Source organism: Homo sapiens, chromosome 14 (assembly GCF_000001405.40).
Source record: "Homo sapiens chromosome 14, GRCh38.p14 Primary Assembly".
NCBI classification, from domain to species: Eukaryota; Metazoa; Chordata; class Mammalia; order Primates; family Hominidae; genus Homo; species Homo sapiens.
This window is the reverse complement of record NC_000014.9, coordinates 102010222-102029793: the sequence shown is the minus strand read 5'-3', so window position 1 is coordinate 102029793 and position 19572 is coordinate 102010222. Positions and strand designations below refer to the sequence as shown.

The 19572-nt window shown below is 47.9% G+C and overlaps 1 protein-coding gene across 1 annotated transcript in view, besides 1 other annotated feature; it reads right to left on the bottom strand.

Annotated features, from left to right (window-relative positions):
* Nucleotides 1-19572, bottom strand: part of DYNC1H1 (dynein cytoplasmic 1 heavy chain 1) — a 91871-nt gene that overhangs the window by 26650 nt on the left and 45649 nt on the right. The window contains exons 31-49 of the mRNA NM_001376.5: nucleotides 19335-19518; nucleotides 18842-19054; nucleotides 17681-17919; nucleotides 17324-17480; nucleotides 14462-14689; nucleotides 13708-13938; nucleotides 13305-13445; nucleotides 12795-13028; nucleotides 12500-12706; nucleotides 12290-12411; nucleotides 11178-11343; nucleotides 9738-9901; nucleotides 6914-7043; nucleotides 3087-3220; nucleotides 2506-2620; nucleotides 2250-2411; nucleotides 1961-2175; nucleotides 1653-1857; nucleotides 82-255 (exon numbers count right to left, since the gene is read on the bottom strand). Of these exons, the coding sequence (NP_001367.2) occupies nucleotides 82-255; nucleotides 1653-1857; nucleotides 1961-2175; nucleotides 2250-2411; nucleotides 2506-2620; nucleotides 3087-3220; nucleotides 6914-7043; nucleotides 9738-9901; nucleotides 11178-11343; nucleotides 12290-12411; nucleotides 12500-12706; nucleotides 12795-13028; nucleotides 13305-13445; nucleotides 13708-13938; nucleotides 14462-14689; nucleotides 17324-17480; nucleotides 17681-17919; nucleotides 18842-19054; nucleotides 19335-19518 (3421 nt within the window). The remainder of the gene's footprint in view (nucleotides 1-81; nucleotides 256-1652; nucleotides 1858-1960; nucleotides 2176-2249; nucleotides 2412-2505; nucleotides 2621-3086; nucleotides 3221-6913; nucleotides 7044-9737; nucleotides 9902-11177; nucleotides 11344-12289; nucleotides 12412-12499; nucleotides 12707-12794; nucleotides 13029-13304; nucleotides 13446-13707; nucleotides 13939-14461; nucleotides 14690-17323; nucleotides 17481-17680; nucleotides 17920-18841; nucleotides 19055-19334; nucleotides 19519-19572) is intronic.
* Nucleotides 1273-2472: an enhancer, noted in NCBI's record as "BRD4-independent group 4 enhancer chr14:102493659-102494858 (GRCh37/hg19 assembly coordinates)". NCBI's record gives its function as "activates an origin of replication core promoter dependent on BRD2, P300/CBP, MED14 and CDK7 cofactors, and independent of BRD4, by STARR-seq in HCT116 cells {active_cell/tissue: HCT116}" and the evidence as "EXISTENCE:reporter gene assay evidence [ECO:0000049][PMID:35650434]".

Genomic DNA, 19572 nt, shown 5'->3' with positions numbered 1-19572 from the left:
GACGAGAAACATGCAGAAATTATATGGAAAGGGGTCCTCACTGCAGCTCACTCCCGTGAGGAATTTGTGCCTGTGACGCACCTGGTCGACTGTCTCTTTGATCTTCCTGAGCCCCACGTTCAAGTGCATCTGCTGCTCCTCCAGCTCGCTCCGCTTCTCGTGGAACAGGTTGGCATAGTGATTGATGAAGTCCAGGTAGTGGCGAGGGGTGATGGCCATCGTTCTGCCGCCTCGCTTTGCTAGCCGAGCATTCGCCTTTCAGAAAATAGTTACATCTTCTCACTCTTCAGGAAACTCTGTGACTTAACCTCAGAAAACAATTTTGGCCTTGGCAGATGGGTGTGACATGATAGAAGGAGCCTGGCCCTCGGGGCCAGAACACTCGAGTCGGGCCTCAGCTTAGCCACTTAGAGCTTTCGAGATACCCCTTACACTTCCAAACCTCTCTAAGCCCTTTAACTTCTCTAAACTGAGGATGGTGATTACACCAACTTTAGAGGTGTACTTATGTGAAAAGGCATCACAAATGTCAGTTACTATAGAAAGGTTAGCTAGCCTGCTTCCACCTTTTATTAGTAAGAAATGACAAGAAAGGGGCAAGGCAGGCCTGATGTGAGAAACTGCTCTGGTCCCTTGATTTCTGAAGCACAGCAAGATGATCAGACTACCAGGGGAAGCCAGGGCTGGACGACATTCCAAGGGCAATGGAGATGGCCTGCAGGGGCTGGGCAGCAGGACACCTACAAGCTCAGAGTGGATTTCACAAAGCTCTTCTGGGAGGGAGGAGTAGACTGAATTCTTCTATCACACAGAATCTACAGCAAGGATTAGCAAAACATGGTTAGCAGGCCAAGCCTTGCATTTTTCAGTAATGAGGTTTTACTGGCCACAGCCACACCCATTCATTTATATATGGTCTCTGGAGGCTTTTGCCCTACAATGGCAGCACTGAGTAGCTGTGCCCGAGACTACTCCACCTGTAAAGGTTAAAACATTTATGATCTGGCTCTTTAAAGAGAAAGCGTGCTGATTCCTGATCTAGAGGAAAGAGTAAGGGCCTGAACATACAGCAGCAGTGGGAGACAAAGGCAAAGGAGATCATTTTATCAGAGGCAGAGTCAGTGGGGGCACTAAAGTGTTAGACGGCTCCAGAATTTACAGCCCAGTGACAAGAATGAGATGTTACTAAAGAGGTAAGAGGTAAGAAACAAGTATTTCCTTTACAAATAACAGTACAATGTCAAACATGAAGTGCCCTAAGGTCTATTTATGTTGTTTTGAGTCTGGGTCTTGCTCTGTTGCCCAGGCTGGATTGCAGTGCCGTGATCTCAGCTCAATATAACCTCTGCCTCCTGGGCTTAAGTGATCCTCCCACCTCAGCTTCCTGAGTAGCTGGGACTATAGGTGCCCACCACCATGCCCGGCTAATTTTCTTTGTATTTTTTGTAGAGATGGGGTCTCGCCATGTTGCCCAGGCTGGTCTTGAACTCCTGGGTTCAAGTGATCCTCCCGCCTTGGCCTCCCAAAGTGCTGGGATTACAGGCATGAGTCACTGCACCTGGCCTTAAGGTCTATTTTTATAGCAATTTAGTTTTATATTAGCATGATGGTTAGTTTTGTGGTTTATCTGTTGATCTCAAAACTGAACCCACCTGGTGAAGAGTCTGATGAACAAACACACAGCTGTTCACAATGGCTTCCCGATGGGATGGTGGCTGCGGCAGCTTATCATACACAACTGGCATGTAATCAGGCACGATGTAATTTGGCTTCTCCAGATCCATCTTACTTGTGAATTCTTTGCCAACCTGATACAGTGCTTCGGTGGACCAGTCTCCAAACCAATTCAACACACACCTGAGAAAGAGGCCCATGTTTCAGGACAGCTATGAGGGGCAGGCTTTGTCCCTTGGAAGGACACCGACTTTCCTGACCCAGAGCCAAGTAAAGGCCCACGTACCTGTTGAAAAGTGCTGGTGATGTAGCTGCCCGGTCCTTGAGTCCCTCCGAGGACGGGTTCATGGTGAACACGACGTGGAGGTTGCGGATAACCTGGCTAGTGAACCACTTGTAGAGCTCCTCGTGCGAGTCCAGCATCAGGCCTTCCTTCTGTGCCCCCTCTTTGCACTGCGTCATCAAGGTGGCATACTCGTCTCCTTCAAAGAGACCAGGCACCTGGGAAACAGCACAGTGCTGACTTACTGGTCCCCCGGTAACACGTAATGCAACGCAACACGTCACCTAATTACCTCTCCATTGGCCAGAAGGGTATTCATTCGCTCCAGGAATCCAGAATCTAACACATTAGATTCATCCATTATAAATGCTATCTTTTCATTTTTACAGCCAGAACGTCTCAACACTGTCCGTAGATCTTCATCAAAGTCTTCCCCTGTGTACTTCCTATGGACCTACAGAAGCAGAGGCAAGTTAGGTCCATTCCTACTCACTGAGCTCTGCACACACATCTGTTGCTGGGATTAAGAGGCCACCGACCAGACGCACCTTAATCTGGTACACACTCAAACCGTTCATCCAGGCGACGAAACGAGACAGGGTAGTTTTTCCTGCTCCACTAACACCAATCAGAAGCAAGTGGCCTTGAGGTTGACGGAATATTCTGAAACATTACGAGAACTGATCAATGTTAAGGCTTATAATGCCTCATTCCCCTTTTGACTCATATCTAGTGTCTACAGTATTTTGGACATGTTTTAACTTGAACTTGTATATTAAACATTTGCTGAGCAACTGTTATTTGTGAAGTCCAGGAGGAATGCAAAGACCAGTAAGACACGGTCCTGTCCTCTAGACTGACATGAGAGACTAATGCAATTCCAGCAGAAGGTCAAAGGGCCATAATTATGGCAGGTATGCAGTGCTGGGGGAGGAAGAATGAAGTTCTGCTTAGGATAAACTGAGGATGGTTAAGCTGGACTTAGAAAGAAGAGAAGGGGGAAGCTGCTTGGTGGAGAAGGCTGAGGTGGAGGTGGTAGGACAGCATGAGGCCTGGTGTGACCCGGCACACACACTTACTCAAGAGCAGCTTAGGCGAGAGGTGGGGCTGTAACAACAAAAAAGCCCACCTGTCAATCCTCAGCACGTGGTCTAGGACTTCATTAAACAGCACCAGCGGAACATCAAGTTCTTCTTCATAAAAGACCTTCAGCCTAGCTTTGACATAATCTCTTAACTCTTCTTGGTCTACTGGGATGTAATCCTATAGAAAAAAAGGTAATACCCAAATTACTTAGAAAAAAATGTTAGTTATTAGACCAAAGTCAACTGTATGTCCACATACCATGAAGAAACTGTTAAAAATGCAACAAAAAAGGTATCATTTATAACATAGCAAAAAAATATAAATTCACTAGGAATGGATCTAAAAACATGAAAAACTTTTATAGAGAAAACTGAACTTCACCAAAAGGCAATGAAGAGGACCTCAATACATGAAGAGACATACCATGATCATGGAGGAAAAAAACACTCTACTATAAAAATGCCAGTTCCATCAAACTCATCCATAAGTTCAATGTAATCCCAGTCAAAATCTCAGTGGTGGGAGGTGCTTATTGTCCTGGTGCAACCTGACAAGCCATTTCTGTATTTCATTTGGAACAGGAAAGATCCCTCCAGAAAAGAACCAGGTGTGAGGGCCTGCCCTATTTTTTTTTTTTTTTTTGTAGCCTCGCTCTGTCACCAGGCTGGAGTGCTGTGGCACGATCTCAGCTCACTGCAACCTCCGCCTCCTGGGTTCAAGCAATTCTCCTGCCTCAGCCTCCCAAGTAGCTGGGACTACAGGCACGTACCACCATGCCCAGGTAATTTTTGTATTTTTAGTACAGACGGGTTTCACCACGTTGGCCAGGATGGTCTTGATCTCTTGACCTTGTGATCTGCCGGTCTCGGCCTCCCAAAGTGCTGGGATTACAGGCGTGAGCCACCGCACCTGGCCTGGGCCTGCCCTATTAAACAGACTTATTACCATAATCAGGACCATGTGGTTTTAGCACAGAGAACAACTAACGGATACCTATGCACACAGGGAAACTATGATGACAGACAGATACTGCAGAGTAAATTATTATTTAATAAACTTTGCTGGGATAATGGGTGTCCATAAGGAAAGAACTGAAAACGGACCCACTGCTCACTCAATACACAAACTCAATTAGAAATGTGATTAAGAGTTTCAAAGATACATCTTTTTTTTTTTTTTTTTTTTCCTTGAGACAGGGTCTCACTCTGTCACCCAGGCTAGAGTGCAGTGGCCTGATCTCAGCTCACTGCAACCTCTGCCTCCTGGGTTCAAGTGATTCTCCTGCCTCTCAAGTAGCTGGGACTATAGGCACACGCCACCATACCTGGCAATTTTTTTTTTTTTTTGAGACAGAGTCTCCCTCTGTCGCCCAGGCTAGAGTGCAATGGCGCGATCTCGGCTCACTGCAACCTCTGCCTCCCAGGTTTAAGTGATTCTCCTGCCTCAGCCTCCTGAGTAGCTGAGATTACAGGCATGCAGTACCGCACCCGGCTAATTTTTGTATTTTTAGTAGAGATGGGTTTTCACCATGTTGGTAAGGCTGGTCTTGAACTCCTGACCTCGTGATCCACCTGCCTCGGCGAGACGGGGTTTCACCACGTTGGGCAGGCTGGTCTCGAACTCCTGACCTCAGGTGATCCGCCCACCTTGGCCTCCCAAAGTGTTGGGATTACAGGCGTGAGCCACTGTGCCCAGCCTGAAAGATACATCTTTAAGAACGTTTGTTCTTCAAAAGACCTTATAAAGAGTAAAAAAATGGCTGGGTGCAGTGGTTCATGCCTGTAATCCCAGCACTTTGGGAGGCCGAGATGGGCTGATCACGAGGTCAGGAGATCGAGACCATCCTGGCTAACACGGTGAAACCCCATCTCTACTAAAAATACAAAAAATTAGCTGGGCGTGGTGGCGGGCACCTGTAGTCCCAGCTACTTGGGAGGCTGAGGCAGGAGACTGGGGTGAACCCAGGAGGCGGAGCTTGCAGTGAGCCGAGAAAGCACCACTGCACTCTAGCCTGGGCGACAGAGCGAGACTCCATCTCCAAAAAAAAAAAAAAAAAAAGAGTTAAAAAAAAAAGATAAGCCACAGGGAGAAGTTTCCTGTAAATGAAAAAGAATGGGTACCTAGAGTCTTAAAATATATAGAAAATTCTACCAATATTGAACACACCCACCTTACTACTCCCAGCTCCTATCAGGCGCTCTGCCTTGTATGCCCTCCCTGACGTGGTGAACCTTTCTGGAGAAAGCTGAACTTCACTGAAAGCCATTCAGAAGACCTAAACACACGAAGACCAGTGCAAGGGTCATTCTCCCAGAAATCTCTTCCCAGCCTGAGTTATCTCCCTCTGTCCTGCTCTTTCCTCCACTGGAGTGGGAGCTGCCTAAAGGAAGCTCTTACTCACGTCTATCACCTGGGGCTCCTCAATGAAATGCATGTCAAGACTGTAACTCGGTAAACGTCCTCATCCTTTGCAGAGAAAAAGGACAACTCACAGCTATTCTGGAGAGGTGAACTCCATCTAGCATTTTAGCATATGAAACATTTTCACACAAGTTATTCACAATTGTCCTATTTTCAGTGTGAGGAATGTGAAAACAAATTTGTGAAGCAAAGATTTCTTTCACTGCAAACCCGCTGAAGCAACACCTTCCACCGGCTGGAAATCCAATGGCTCGACCCTCACACAGAAGTCAGAACCCCAACAGCAGCCAGCCAGCCATACTCCTGGGAATTCCTGCCCTAAAGTATCAGTGACTGCAAACCCGTAGCACATCACTGCTGTAACCGCAGCCTATTTTATAGTGCATTTTAGGACAAAGAGATTTTTCTTGTTTTTTAAGTGTTTTTTTGAGGTAAGGTCTCACTTTGTTACCCAAGCTGGACTCTTTTTAAGTTTTTATTCTTTTTTTGAGACGGAATCTCACTCTGTTGCCCAGGCTGGAGTGCAGTGGCGTGACCTTGGCTCACTGCAACCTCTGTCTCCCGGGTTCAAGCGATTCTCAGACTCCTGAGTAGCTGGGATTACAGGCACATGCCACCATGCCTGGCTAATTTTTGTCTTTTTAGTAGAGATGGAGTTTCAGCATGTTGTCCAGGCTGGTCTCGAACCCCTGACCTCAAGTGATCTGCCTGCCTTGGCCTCCCAAAGTGCTGGGATTACAGGCGTGTGCCATTGCACCTCGCTGTATTTTTTTTTTCTTTGAGACAGAGTTTCGCTCTTGTTGCTGAGGCTGCAGTGCAATGGCGCGATCTCAGCTCACCGCAACTTCTGCCTCCCGGGTTCCAAAGATTCTCCTGCCTCAGCCTCCTAAATAGCTGGGATTACAGACATGCGTCACCACGCCCAGCTAATTTTGTATTTTTAGTAGAGATGGGGTTTCTCCATGTAGGTCAGGCTGGTCTCGAACTCCCGACCTCAGGTGATCCACCGCCTCAGCCTCCCAAAGTGCTGGGATTACAGGCATGAGCCACCGCGCCCGGCTGATATTTTGTTTTCTGAAGTATTTTTTGAAACAGGGTTTTGCTCTTTTACCCAGGCTGCAGTATGGTGGTGTGACCACAGCTCACTGTGACTTCCTGGGCTCAAGCCTCCCAAGTTGCTGGGACCATAGGCGTGAGTTACCTTGCCTGGCTAAATTTTCAAATTTTTTTGTAGAGGTGGAGTCTTACTATGTTGCCCAGGCTGGTCTCAAACTCCTGGGATCAAGTGATCCTCCTGCCTCAGCCTCCCAAAGTGCTGGGATTACAGGTGTGAGACACCATACCCAGCCTAAAGATATTTTTGAGTAGAAGATAATTCGTTAGAATTCGTTAGTGTTAGAAAGGGATGGCAGAAAAAGAAGTATGTCTGAAATGATGCGAGTTTGCTACCTTTGACAGCCAGTTGCTGTACAAGATGGGTCGGCTCATTGCCTTCTCTCTGTCGATGTTAGGGAAGTGCTTCAGAGCAACCGTGTCGATGTTCTCATCAGTCCAACGCCTCTCCTCATCCTCTACGAGTCTGTGGGGAGAGCAGCATGTGCATTTAGGTAACTAGAGGGCACGGTGAAGAAGCACCATGTTCACCATGTTTGTGGGTGCTGTGGGCTCTTCCAAAGGATGCAGTCAGTCTTTATCACACATCTTCCTTTACTATGCATGGATGAACCTAAAAGCTGAACTCATGACAGCTTAGGCAACCTGAAATTTTATTTATTTATTTATTTACTTACTTACTTACAGAGTCTCACTTTTTTTTTTTTTTTTGAGACGGAGTCTCTCTCTGTCGCCAAGGCTGGAGTGCACTGGCACTATCTTGGCTCACTGCAAGCTCCGCCTCCCGGGTTCATACCATTCTCCTGCCTCAGCCTCCTGAGTAGCTGGGACTACAGGCGCCCGCCACCAAGGCTGGCTAATTTTTTTTTTTTAATTGTATTTTTAGTAGAGATGGGGTTTCATCGTGTTAGCCAGGATGGTCTCGATCTCCTGACCTCGTGATCCGCCCGCCTCGGCCTCCCAAAGTGCTGGGATTACAGGCGTGAGCCACCTCGCCCAGCCCAGAGTCTCACTCTTACTTACTTACTTACAGCCTGGCAACAGGCTGAAGTGCAGTGGCGCGATCTTACTTACTTACTTACTTACAGAGTCTCACTCTGTTGCCCAGGCTGAAGTGCAGTGGCGCGATCTTGGCTCACTGCAACCTCTGCTTCCCAGGTTCAAGCGATTCTCCTGCCTCAGCCTCCTCAGTAGCTGGGATTACAGGCATATGCTACCATGCCCAGCTAATTTTTGTATTTTTAGTAGAGATGGGGTTTCGCTATGCTGGTCTCAAGCTGTAATCCCAGCACTCTGGGAGGGCAGAGGCAGGCGGATCACTTTAAGTCAGGAGTTCAAGACTAGCCTGGCCAATGTGGTGAAACCCTGTCTCTACTAAAAATATAAAAATCAGCCAGGCGTGGTGGCACATGTCTGTAATCCCAGCTACTCTGGGGGCTGGGGCACAAGAATTGCTTTGAACCCAGGAGACGGAGATTGCAGTGAGCTGAGATCATGCCATTGCACTCTAGCCTGGGTGACAAAGCGAGACTCTTGTCTCAAAAAAAAAAAAAAAAAAAAGAAAAAGAAAAAAGAAATGGGAACTGTGATGTGTGTAGTTTTAGAGGTGTAAGACTTACTACAAGGCAAGCAGGCGAGACTGTGACTGCGCTGCTGTGTGAGGACCTTTTGAGAAGCTGACTGTAAGATCTCCTATGCAGGCTACCAGGTGAGGGTCTAGTGAAGGCAGGTATATACTTACTGAAGCCAATCTGAATTTGTAAGCACAACTGCTGTTGCGACATTTGAATTTAAACAAAATTCTCTGTGGTACTAGAAATCTGTGAAAACTATATTGTGGGAGACAGGGTCTTGCTCTGTCACTCAGGCTGGAATGCAGTGGCACGATCATGGCTCACTGTAGCTGCAGCCTCCCAGGCTCAATCGATCTTCCTGTCTCAGCCTCCCAAGTAGCTGGGACTACAGGTACACGTCACCACACCTGGCTAATTTTTTATTTTTTGTAGAGATGGGGGTCTCACTATGTTGGTCAGGCTGGCCTTGAACTCCTGGGCTCAATGATCCTCCTGCCTCGACCTTCCAAAGTGCTGGGATTATAGATGTGAACCACTATGCCCAGCCAATTTTTTTTTAATTGAAAAGGGGAGAGTGAAGGTAGCTGACATAGCAACAATAACAAAAGACTGTTTAAAAAGCAGCAGAACTCCAATAAGAAATAAAAACAGGGCTGCCACAGCCAACATACTCTGCACTCTGCCTTGCCTGCTCATCTCTTACAGTGGCTGTCAGTAATGTACCCGGTGTTGCCCAAGAATGCCAAGGACTCGGGTTGGAAACCCAGTGATTACAACTAGGCAGTATTCTGAGACTCCTTGTACAGTAATGACAGGAAAAACTGCAGGATGACACCTGGTCCAGAGGCACAGCTGCCAAACACTTAAGCATTTCTTAGTCTGGAGGGAACCATCTGCCAAGTCATCTTACTGCAATTCAAACCACAAAACCTTCCACAGTTGATGCCGATCAGTCATCCGTTAGCAATTTTTTCCCTTAAGTATTGGTCACTTAACTAGAAAAACTCAAAACTTACAAGACAAGAATTGATCCAAGTGGGCAACAGGTAAAAGAGAAAACCAGTGCCCCAGAGCTGCAGCTGCAAAGCCTTTGATGAGAACACAGACTGAGAAACAGGAAGAGGGGTGGTGGTTACGGAACACGCACACTGGGCAGTTGTTGGGAGACCTTTTAACTCAGCAGTGAACCCGTGCTCTGGTAAGGTTATCACAGGCAGCTGCTACCTTTTGTGGTCCCACCTGACAGTTTAAAAGGTTTATTAAAGTGCCCCGTTTTTTGACTTCTATGATGTATCTTTAAAAAAAAAAGTACCCTGTTCACAGCCACAAGGTTTATGAAAGTGCCTTGTGTAAGCAGACAGTGGTGGGCCAGCCGGTGCATTCAGCGCACTGTGACTTTGTTACCCTGGGGCAACTGTGACCAGTGTCCAGACGGGAGGCTGCCCTGGCTGACTCTGCTCCTTCCACCACTGGCACCACCTGGCTCTAACTTAGGCAGACCACCCCTGCAAAGACCCCAGCTTCGACAGCTGTAAGAACTCAGAGCAGGGGAGAATGGGACCAACTGGATCCTCGGCTTCCCTTACCTATCTTGGAAGAGACGCAGAGCTTCATGTGCCCAAATCCGAATGAGGCCTTCAACAGGCAGGGTCTCCAGAGGTCTCAGCGCTTCAAAGATGCCTCTCACCCACCTAGTCATTTCACGGGGTGAATAGATATAGTGAGGTTGTGTATCCTGGGTGAATCTCTCCTATGGCAATGAGAAAAATGGAAGGTACACGTAAATATCTTAAGACACAGAGAAGTGGTCAAAAGGTAAAATGTGGCAAAACATGTTTACATTAAAGAACCTAGACCCTGAAATATTTAAGAAGATAGCTGGACATGGTGGTGGGTGCCTGTAGTCCCAGCTACTAGGGAGGCTGAGGCAGAAGAATCGCTTGAACCCAGGAGGCGGAGGTTGCAGTGAGCCGAGACTGCGCCACTGCATTCCAGCCTTGGCGACAGAGTGAGACTCCGTCTCCAAATGAGTAAACAATGTTGGAACAATTGGATAAATAACTGTCCAGAACAAAGTTAGATTCAAGCTGCTCACTTTATGCTGAAATACATTATATTTAACGATTTAAATATTTAAACAATGAAACTACAAAAAATCCTTCTGAAAATACTTAAAAGCAAATTAAATACTGGGAAAAAGCATCTGCCACCTATGACAAGAAAGCTGTCCCAAAGCATGAAGAGCGAGGGAGACACAGCAGGGCAGTTGGCGGCTCCCACTCATCCCCCGCAGCCAGCGGCTCCATGGGAGGCTCAACAGAGAAATGCAAATAGCAACGAGAGTCATTTCTCACCAAATGGGCAAAGACATTTTTGTTAATGACTATTTTTTAAATGTTGCAGAATACAGGGAAGCGGGTGCTGCTGGTGGAGGCGTAGCTGGTCCAACCATCTTGAGAGCAATCTGGCAGATATGCAGCCTTTATATACATTTAGAAACTGTATGGCTCTATTTTCATCATATACACATACATACACATGCATAGGATAATGATTAAGCATGGAAATGTCAGCAGTCTTAGCACCTGCATAGAAAAGTGACTTTGATGACAGACCTTGGAGAAAGTCTCTCGGCTCAATAACATCTCTGAATAAAGTCCAATCTTTATTTCAATAAACTTCTCATTTTATTTTGAGGTAGAGTCTCACTCTGTCACCCAGGCTGGTGCAGTGGCACAATCATGGCTCATCGTAAGCTCTGCCTCCAGGTTCAAGCAACTCTCCCACCTCAGCCTCCTGGGAAGCTGACATTACAAGCATGCACCACCACGCCCACCTATTTTTTGTAGAGACAGGGTTTTGCCATGTTGTCCAGACTGGTCTCAAACTCCTGGGCTCAAAGGATCCACCCACCTTGGCCTCCCAAAATGCTGGGATTACAGGTGTGAACCACCACACCTGACCAATCGAGTGCCTTAATTATGAGAGGAAAACAATTTCTGGAAGAGCAAAGAAACTCTGCGTACCTGAGACATGGTGTAGAACTCCACCATGGCAGCAGTGAGCGGCTCTGCATACGTCCGCAGGGATGGAATGAGCCTCAGCATGGCGCGGTTGAAGGTGCCGTAGATCTGTGTGAGGGAGGCGGGGCCCGGGTAATCCACATACACGACAGGCACGTGGCGCAGGAACCTGTGCACAGATAGCCCCGCTCAGCGCCCCTCCCTGACAGCGCCTCCCAGGAAGGGGCAGTGTGCCAGTGGAGTCGCCCTGTCCAGGGCCCTGTCTGGAGGTCGCTTCCTAACCCAGCTATGCAGACTTGACATCAGTGTTAGCTGAGATCACACACACGCTGCTCAGGCTTGGGGTCTGACACACAACAGTCGATGGAAAACACTTGAAAAACCAGCAAAGATGAAAAAATAACCAAGGCTTATTTCAGGCTCATCTTGGCTCTACAGATGAGTCTGGAGCAGTTCATCACTACCAAGAGATCAATGCTTTTATTTCATTTTATTTTATTTATTTATTTATTTTGAGATGGAGTCTTGCTCTGTTGCCCAGGCTGGAGTGCAGTGGTGCGATCTCAGCTCACTGCAAGCTCCACCTCCCAGGTTCACACCATTCTGCTGCCTCAGCCTCCCAAGTAGCTGGGACTACAGGCACCTGCCACCATGCCTGGCTAATTTTTTGTATTTTTAGTAGAGATGGGGTTTCACCGTGTTAGCCAGGATGGCCTCAACCTCCTGACCTCGTGATCTGCCCGCTTCGGCCTCCCAAAGTGCTGGGATTACAGGCGTAAGCCACCACGCCCGGCCTTAATTTTGTTTTTGTATTTTCAGTAGAGACGAGGTTTCACTGTGTTGGCCAGGATGGTCTCAATCTCCTGACCTCGTGATCCGCCCGCCTCGGCCTCCCAAAGTGCTGGGATTATAGGCGTAAGCCACTGCGCCCGGCCAATGCTTTTATTTTTAACATGTTTTCCTGGCATTACAGCACAGAGAAGTAACCCAAGAGGAATCCACAATAAGCAGTATTGTTGTCTTTATTATCAAAACCAGGTTTTTGTGGCGCTGTGTTTACAGCAATCCTGGAGCTGTGCGTGTGTGAAGCAGAGCAGTCTACCGAGCTGTTTTACCTGTGTGAGAGGGGCTTTCTTCCAGGGTCTGTGGGGGGATTACAAGCCCCAACAAACTGGATTCTCTCCAGCTTCACCCATGTTTGATCTGAGGTACGGTAAAAGCCTCCGTGCTCCACCATCTGAAGGAAGGGACAGGTACCACATTAAGAGCAAAACTTGAACAAGAAACATTGTGGGGCAGGAAGGGCCTTGTGGATAGAAACAAACCTGTCTGATGAAGGATATGACCCTCTGGGTCCCATATTTATCCATATCTGGCAAGTTGATTTCATCACAGAACAACACCAGCCACTTTCCAAGTTGAACAGGAGCCAAAACCACCCCATTAGGTGTGCGCCTGTACTCGCAGTAGTGATCAAAAGTCTTCAGAAGCAGCTCTGGAGTAGTAGCACTGGAGAAGTTGAGACCCACCACCTTTGGAGGGAAGACACAAAACCACACTGTAAGACCAACCCCATGCTCAGCACCAAAAGGTCTGCTGCCCACCTCCTGGCCTCTTTACCTCCATGTCAGGCAAGGCCCGGAGGGCGCTGAAGAGTGTCATGGTCTTGCCAGACCCAGGAGGGCCACACAAGACCAGGGGCTTGTGTTCGGCCAGCCAAGTGTACAAGAGGGCTTCGTGGCGGACTGTGTCCAGCGTTGGCACGACGACATCAGGGGCTGCCACCTTGTGCGTCTCCACTTCAATCTGAGGCACCTTGGCCTGCCACGGAGACCATTCTCCGCTGATGGACACCTACACACGGAGATGGAAGTGTGAGTCCGGCTGCAACCAAGGTGCCTCCTCACGAGGTTTGTTTACCTGAACACAAACTTGAACTTTCAGAACAAGGAAGTAATTGGTCAGGTTAATCTGCACTCTTTGCTAACACATGGAACTAAAAGGATAAAGTCCTTCTATGAAATGGAATAAAATGAAAAGACGAAGCCAAGGTCCATGGTCAGCTTGTTCCAGGATGAGTTAAATCAACAAGGCGAGAATCAGAAACACGGGTGGTAGCTGCATGCTCACCTCATAATCGATAATGGGTATGTTGGGCGCAGTGGGCAGAGGCACGGTCGTGATTCTTCTGATGTATTCACCCAGCTCTGCTCTCATTTTTAGCCGGCTGTCTCCAGACAGGGACCAGAGTATGGCATAAACCAGATATCGCTATTAAAAAGGGAATTAAACTTTGATTTTTATAAAATTTCAACAACAAAAGAAAGACACTTACAGCAAAGTTAACCTAAAGACAGTGGTTCCCAGTCTTCTTGCATCACAGACACCCACTGCACCTTTCCTAGCCCCTCAACGAAGGCTCTGCCTCGCCTAGGAGAGAGCGCACATCCCCACAGGTGCAGCATTTCAGAGGTCCTCAGACCTGTGGTCTGGCGCAGTGGTGAGCTCTGTGAAGCCCCTGATGCCCCCTGACCTGAATGTAGCGCTCCAGCTGCTCGATCTGCATGGGGAAGTCGGGATGGTTGGCGTTATACTGCGCCACGTTGCGGCAGGCCTGGTGCAGCATGGAGAAGAGCGAGCCCAGGCAGCGCAGGCGTGTTAGGTCCATGATGTGCTCCAGCTGGAAGGCGTGCTCTAGCGCCTTGGTGACCAGGCCGTTGGACGTGAAGTACGGTTGCATGATCGTAGCTGCATCTCTTTGGATCTAGAAAGTGGAAGGAGTGATACTTAACTATCTTTCAAAAGGCAGGCGAGTTTCATCGATTCTAACCTGGTCCCAGGAGAAGGTCATACGACCTTGGAAAACTCATTTTGGATGAAGCTTCAATGACCAGTCCTCATTCCTTCACCCTGGTGGTTCTCAAAAACCCTGCTTCCCAGGAACTTTGGTTTTCCCACTGAACATGGAAAAGGGCAGTCTTTCATCAATTTGTAGAGAAAAGTAAGATAATGAAAAGAATTCTTTAAATTTTCCCATACGTGACTTTTAACATTTGTAGCTGCTACAGCTGGGCTTCCTTGTTTAAGCTGGCAGAAGACAACATTGATTACACAAAAGTTGGCTGGGTACAGTGACTCATGCCTGTAATCCCAGCACTTTGAGAGGCCAAGGCAGGTGGATTGCTTGGGCCCAGGAGTTCAAGACCAGCGTGGGCAACACAGCGAGACCACATCTGAATATCCTAGCACCCTCAGGTCATGATATGTGGGGTCCCACCTGGGCGTACCTGCAGCATGGGGGAAGCGGCCTCCTCCCCCTCATCCTCTTTGCCCTTACGCCGCCGCTGTGCCTCATCCTCCCCTTCATCCAGCGGGATGCTGCGCAGCCTGGCCAGGAAGTTGTTGAAGATCATGTCGGTGCTCAGCACATCCTCACTGAACCAGACCATGCCGCAGCGCGACACTGTGGCCAAGGTCGCGTATTTCAAGTCCTGTACCTCAAACATTATTCTCACCTTGAAAGAAAACATTAAGCAGATTTAATGACATAGGTTTGGAAGAAACCTGGACATTAAGATTCTTTTACCTATATATACACTGAAAGGGTGACTTTAAACTTAATTTTCCTATACAGAAAGTAGCCAGGCATGGTGGCGTGTGCCTGTAATTGCAGCTACTTGGGAGGCTGAGGGAGAAGAATCACTTGAGCCTGGGAGGTGGAGGCTGCAGTGAGCTGAGATCATGCCACTGCACTCTAGCCTGGGTTACAGTGAAAACCTGTCTCAAAAAAATTTTTTCTGCACTTATGTAAAAAAAACAAAAAACACCTACAGCTCACATCACTACAGTATTCACCATTCTCTCTACAGGAATCTGGGCAGGACAAGTGTGTGTGGCAGGGAGAAGAATAGGGCAAACCACCTTGTTTAAGGTTTCCCACTGTTCTTGAGGGCACAGAAGCAACAGCCCCTCCAAGTGTGATGTCAGCAGTGACTGTGTCCTGGGTGCGCACCGGGCGTGGATCCCTCCAGTCTCACATAACCTGACCAGGCAGGCACGCTGTCGTCTCTGGTGTTTTTTTTTTTTTTTGAGATGGAGTTTTGCTCCTGTTGCCCAGGCTCGAATGCAATGGCGTGATCTCAGCTCACTGCAATGCCTCCCGGGTTCAAGCAATTCTCCTGTCTCAGCCTCCTGAGTAGCTGGGATTACAGGTATGCGCCACCACGCCAGCTAATTTTTTGTCATTTTAGTAGAGACGGGGTTTCATCATGTTGGTCAGGTTGGTCTCAAACTCCTAACCACAGATGATCCACCTGCCTTGGCCTCCCAAAGTACTGGGATGACAGGCACGAACCACCATGCCCAGCCTCACCTCCAGTTTAAAGATGGCGCAGGTGACTTGCTGGGGTCCCACTGCTAGTAAGTGGTTGAGATTCAAAGCAGGTGGTCGGACTCCAGAGCCTTAACCTCGGAGCTGTAATTGCCTCACAAGGAGATTAATCTCCTCTGACAAGTTAGACTCTACTGGATCAGCTGTCAGAGAGGAACTTGAGTTGTTGGAGTAAGTGCACACTTTCAGACAGTACTAAGAATCCATGGCTGGCTCCTGAAGCTGAGATAAATACCAATCCTAAGCCTTGTTGTTAAAGGCTCATAAGCTGATCAGGCCAGAAACCTCGCATCATCCTTGATTCCTTTCCCTCACACCCACATCTAGTCCATCAGCAAATCCCACGCATGCTTTAAACTCCAGCCATAGTCAGTCACCTCTCAGCACCTTCGCTGCTGCCAGCTCGCCCCGTCCCTGGTGCCTGGAGGTCTGAGGCAGTCTCCAACTGGCCTCCTGGCTTTCACCCTGCCCTCTTCATTCTCCAAACGGCAGCCAGACGGATCTTCATGGACATACATCAGGCAACATCGCTCCTGTCCAGGCTGCTCCATGGATCCCAGCTTGCCCAGTGTACAAACTCACACCCCCGACAATGACCTCCTAGGCCCCTGACCTGGCTCGTTTCCTCTCTAGTCTCAGCCCTGACTTGTCCTCCCCAGTCCTCTCCGCTTCAGCCGACTGCCCCTTGCTGTCCTCAAGTACACCGGCCCCCTGTCCCAGACCTGCTACTCCTGCTGTGTGTTCCTTTGCCCAGAATACTTGGGAGACTTGGGACCTACTCCCTCACTCCCCTAAGTGTCTGCTCAAACTACGTTCTCAGGGAAGGCTTCACATTTTAACCTCCAACCCCCACCAACACCTGACAGCTCGCTTTCCATTTTTTTCTTTGCACCAATCACTATTCATTTTGTTTGTCCAATTGCATCACACGTGAGCAAGGGCTTTTGTCTTCCTGCCTTTTTTTTTTTTTTTTTTTTTTTTGAGACGGAGTCTCTCTCTGTCGCCCAGGCTGCAGTGCAGTGGCGCGATCTCGGCTCACTGCAACATCCGCCTCCCAGGTTCATGCCATTCTCCTGCCTCAGCCTCTTGAGTAGCTGGGACTACAGGCACCCACCACCATGCCCCGCTAATTTTTTGTATTTTTAGTAGAGATGGGGTTTCATCATGTTAGCCAGAATGGTCTCAATCTCCTGACTTTGTGATCCGCCTGCCTCGGCCTCCCAAAGTGCTGGGATTACAGGCGTGAGCCACCGCGCCCGGCCTGTCTTCTTGCTTTCTTACTGCTGTATTTTCAGCATCTAGAACAGGGTCTGACTCAGTGCAAATCCATACCGGGCCTGACTGTGTTTACTGATCAGTAGGTGTTGTCAGGCACCTGCATCATGCACTCATTTTCCAAGGGACAGCCTAGAAAGCCCCATTCCAAATTTCTCATTTTCCCAGCTCTCTAGATGTATAACAGCTTAAGAAACCTTAACGACAACCCCACCATACAGGGTTAACTGATAATCATAGAGTGTGCTTATTACTCAATAAATGATAGAAAGCCATCAATAAAACCTATTAAAATGTTTCTCACTAGCCATGGAAATGGAAAAAAAATCTAGCAGTTGAGATGCTATCTTTGAAAATTACTTACACAATGATCACTACTCCATGGAATCTGGGTCCATGACTCCAGAGCTGCACTTAGCTAGCACACGAAGTTTAGTTGGCCAAAAGGAATTATTCAGTTGACGACATACAAAAGGCTACTTACATTGGGTGGAAGACTGAGGCGCTCTCCATTGGGCAAAGTTAGGAGCTTATTGTCATCCAGCACTGAGTTCAAGTTCTCAACCCACTCTGGATCCACATCGCCATCGAAGACGATCCACTGGCGCTTCTGCAGCTCGCCTCTCACGCTGTCGATGATCCTGGTTGGGAAGGATTTTAAAATAGCTGCTGATTAAATCAAGATTTTAACATTAGGCATGTTTACCGATGATGGTTTCTGAAATGACCTTTAATTTGCTCAGACTTTGGTTGAAAAATAACGTATACTCTGCTCTTGTGAGAGCAAAGTACTTAGCGCCCATATCCAGGAGAACACAAACACAGATCAAAGAAGACGTACTTTCTCAGCACGTGTGTGAAGAGCCCATCTGTCCATTCCCTGGTGTTGGGGTCCAGGGTTCCGTAGAGGTGGTCTTTGCTGATGGCCTTGGGGTCGATGATATGGGCCACACCTTCCACACCCTCGAGTCTCTCCAATGCCTTCAGCAGGACACGCCAGGCCATGCTCTTCCCACTTCCCGAGGGCCCCACCATCATCAGGCCATGATTGATCTGGGTGATCTGATAGAGCTGGAGAACCTGCAGGGCCCAACAGACCAGCACAGTGACCATCCCAGAGGAGGAATGGGGACAGCTCCTCGCCCAGCCACCTCTTGTGAAAGTGAGCAAGAAACATTATGTGTGGATTTTTTTTTTTTTCCTGAAACGGAGTCTCTCTCTGTCACCCAGACTGGAATGCAGTGGCACGATCTCAGCTCACCGCAAGCTCCACCTCCCAGGTTCAAGTGATTCTCCTTCCTCACTCTCCCAAGTAGCTGGCTTTACAAGCGCCTATCTATGGATTATTAAAGGCAAGTACTGAAACTCCCCAGCTGGAGAGATGTTACACAGGTCACATGTAAAACAAACATTTCCAAACTGTGGCGAGTTCTTTAGTAAGTCAGGAAGGCTGGAGCCAGTGGGACAGGAGACACCAATGAGCAGCCTCAACAAGGACACATCAGATCCCGCCGAGGACAACAAGAGACCCAATGGATGAGCTATGTGTTCAATCCCGTACAGCATCTCTCAGGCCAAACACACACAGCTTGTGTAAACAATAAACTTTTTCTTAAATGAATCACATAGAGGAAGGAAAGAAGCCAATACAGAATGTAAACTACGTATTGATCAGCGATTCAGGTTGTTCATCTCTGGCACTGGAAAGTCTGGTAAGCAGAATTTTTATCAGTATAAACAACTTTCCAATATAGTCATGCACTTAGCATTTTCAGAAATTGAACTGTATCATGTAAAATTTTCAGGTTAAGTATTGTTTCCTCTTCATTTAAACAACAACAACAAAAATTCAAATAGGCCTTGGGCAAATCTTCATAAAGCATATTATGCACCTCCACAGCCTTTGTGGACAGTTTCATCGAAGGGCCCACGGTTGTCATTACCAGACACTAAAGCCAGCAGGGTCTGTGAGGGCAGTGGCCAGTGAAACAATCCAAGTTACCTTTTCAACCCACATTCCACCAACTTCTTCTCCATCTCCATATGTCAAATACATCTCCTGACACACTTTCTTCAGCTCCTCTCGAAGGGCAGTCATCTCACCCCTGTGATACTGGACTCCAGGGAACACGTCCGACAGGAGGCTGAAGAGCAGCGGGATGTCCTCTGCCACCAGCTTTGGCACCATCGTCTCACAGACGCTCTGTATCAGAATCTACGGGGAGAGGGCTGGGCTGTGAGCAGCGCAGCATGGCTCAAGTACTGCCCGCTGCATCCCCAGGAGGTGCGTGATCAGTAACTGTTGGTGAACAAAGGGTGCGAGCACCACTCGCCCACATTCGTGCACTCGACTCACTGGGTCAACATTACAGTCTATTTCAGCCATCCCAAGACATGTGAACTGCAAGAAGAACTCACAAGTCATGGCTTAAATGTTAAAAAGGTAAATTTAAATAACGTATAAGGTTTGAGTGATCAAAACGTTTGTAACGAACCTCTTGTTCAGGGAGATTTTCAGCAATTTCTCCTTCATCAACTGCTTCCCCTCGTTCCTCTTTCTCCCTCTTTATCTTCTGGATTCTCTCTCTCTTCACATTGCCTGCACTCACCAGCACACTCTTCAAAGCCCGAAGACCGAAGTCATAATGGCTTTGGGAAGAGAGCTGCTCATCGCATAGTCTAGAAAAGAAGAAAAAAAGGCTATCTTTAATAACAGTATACTTTAAGCAATAA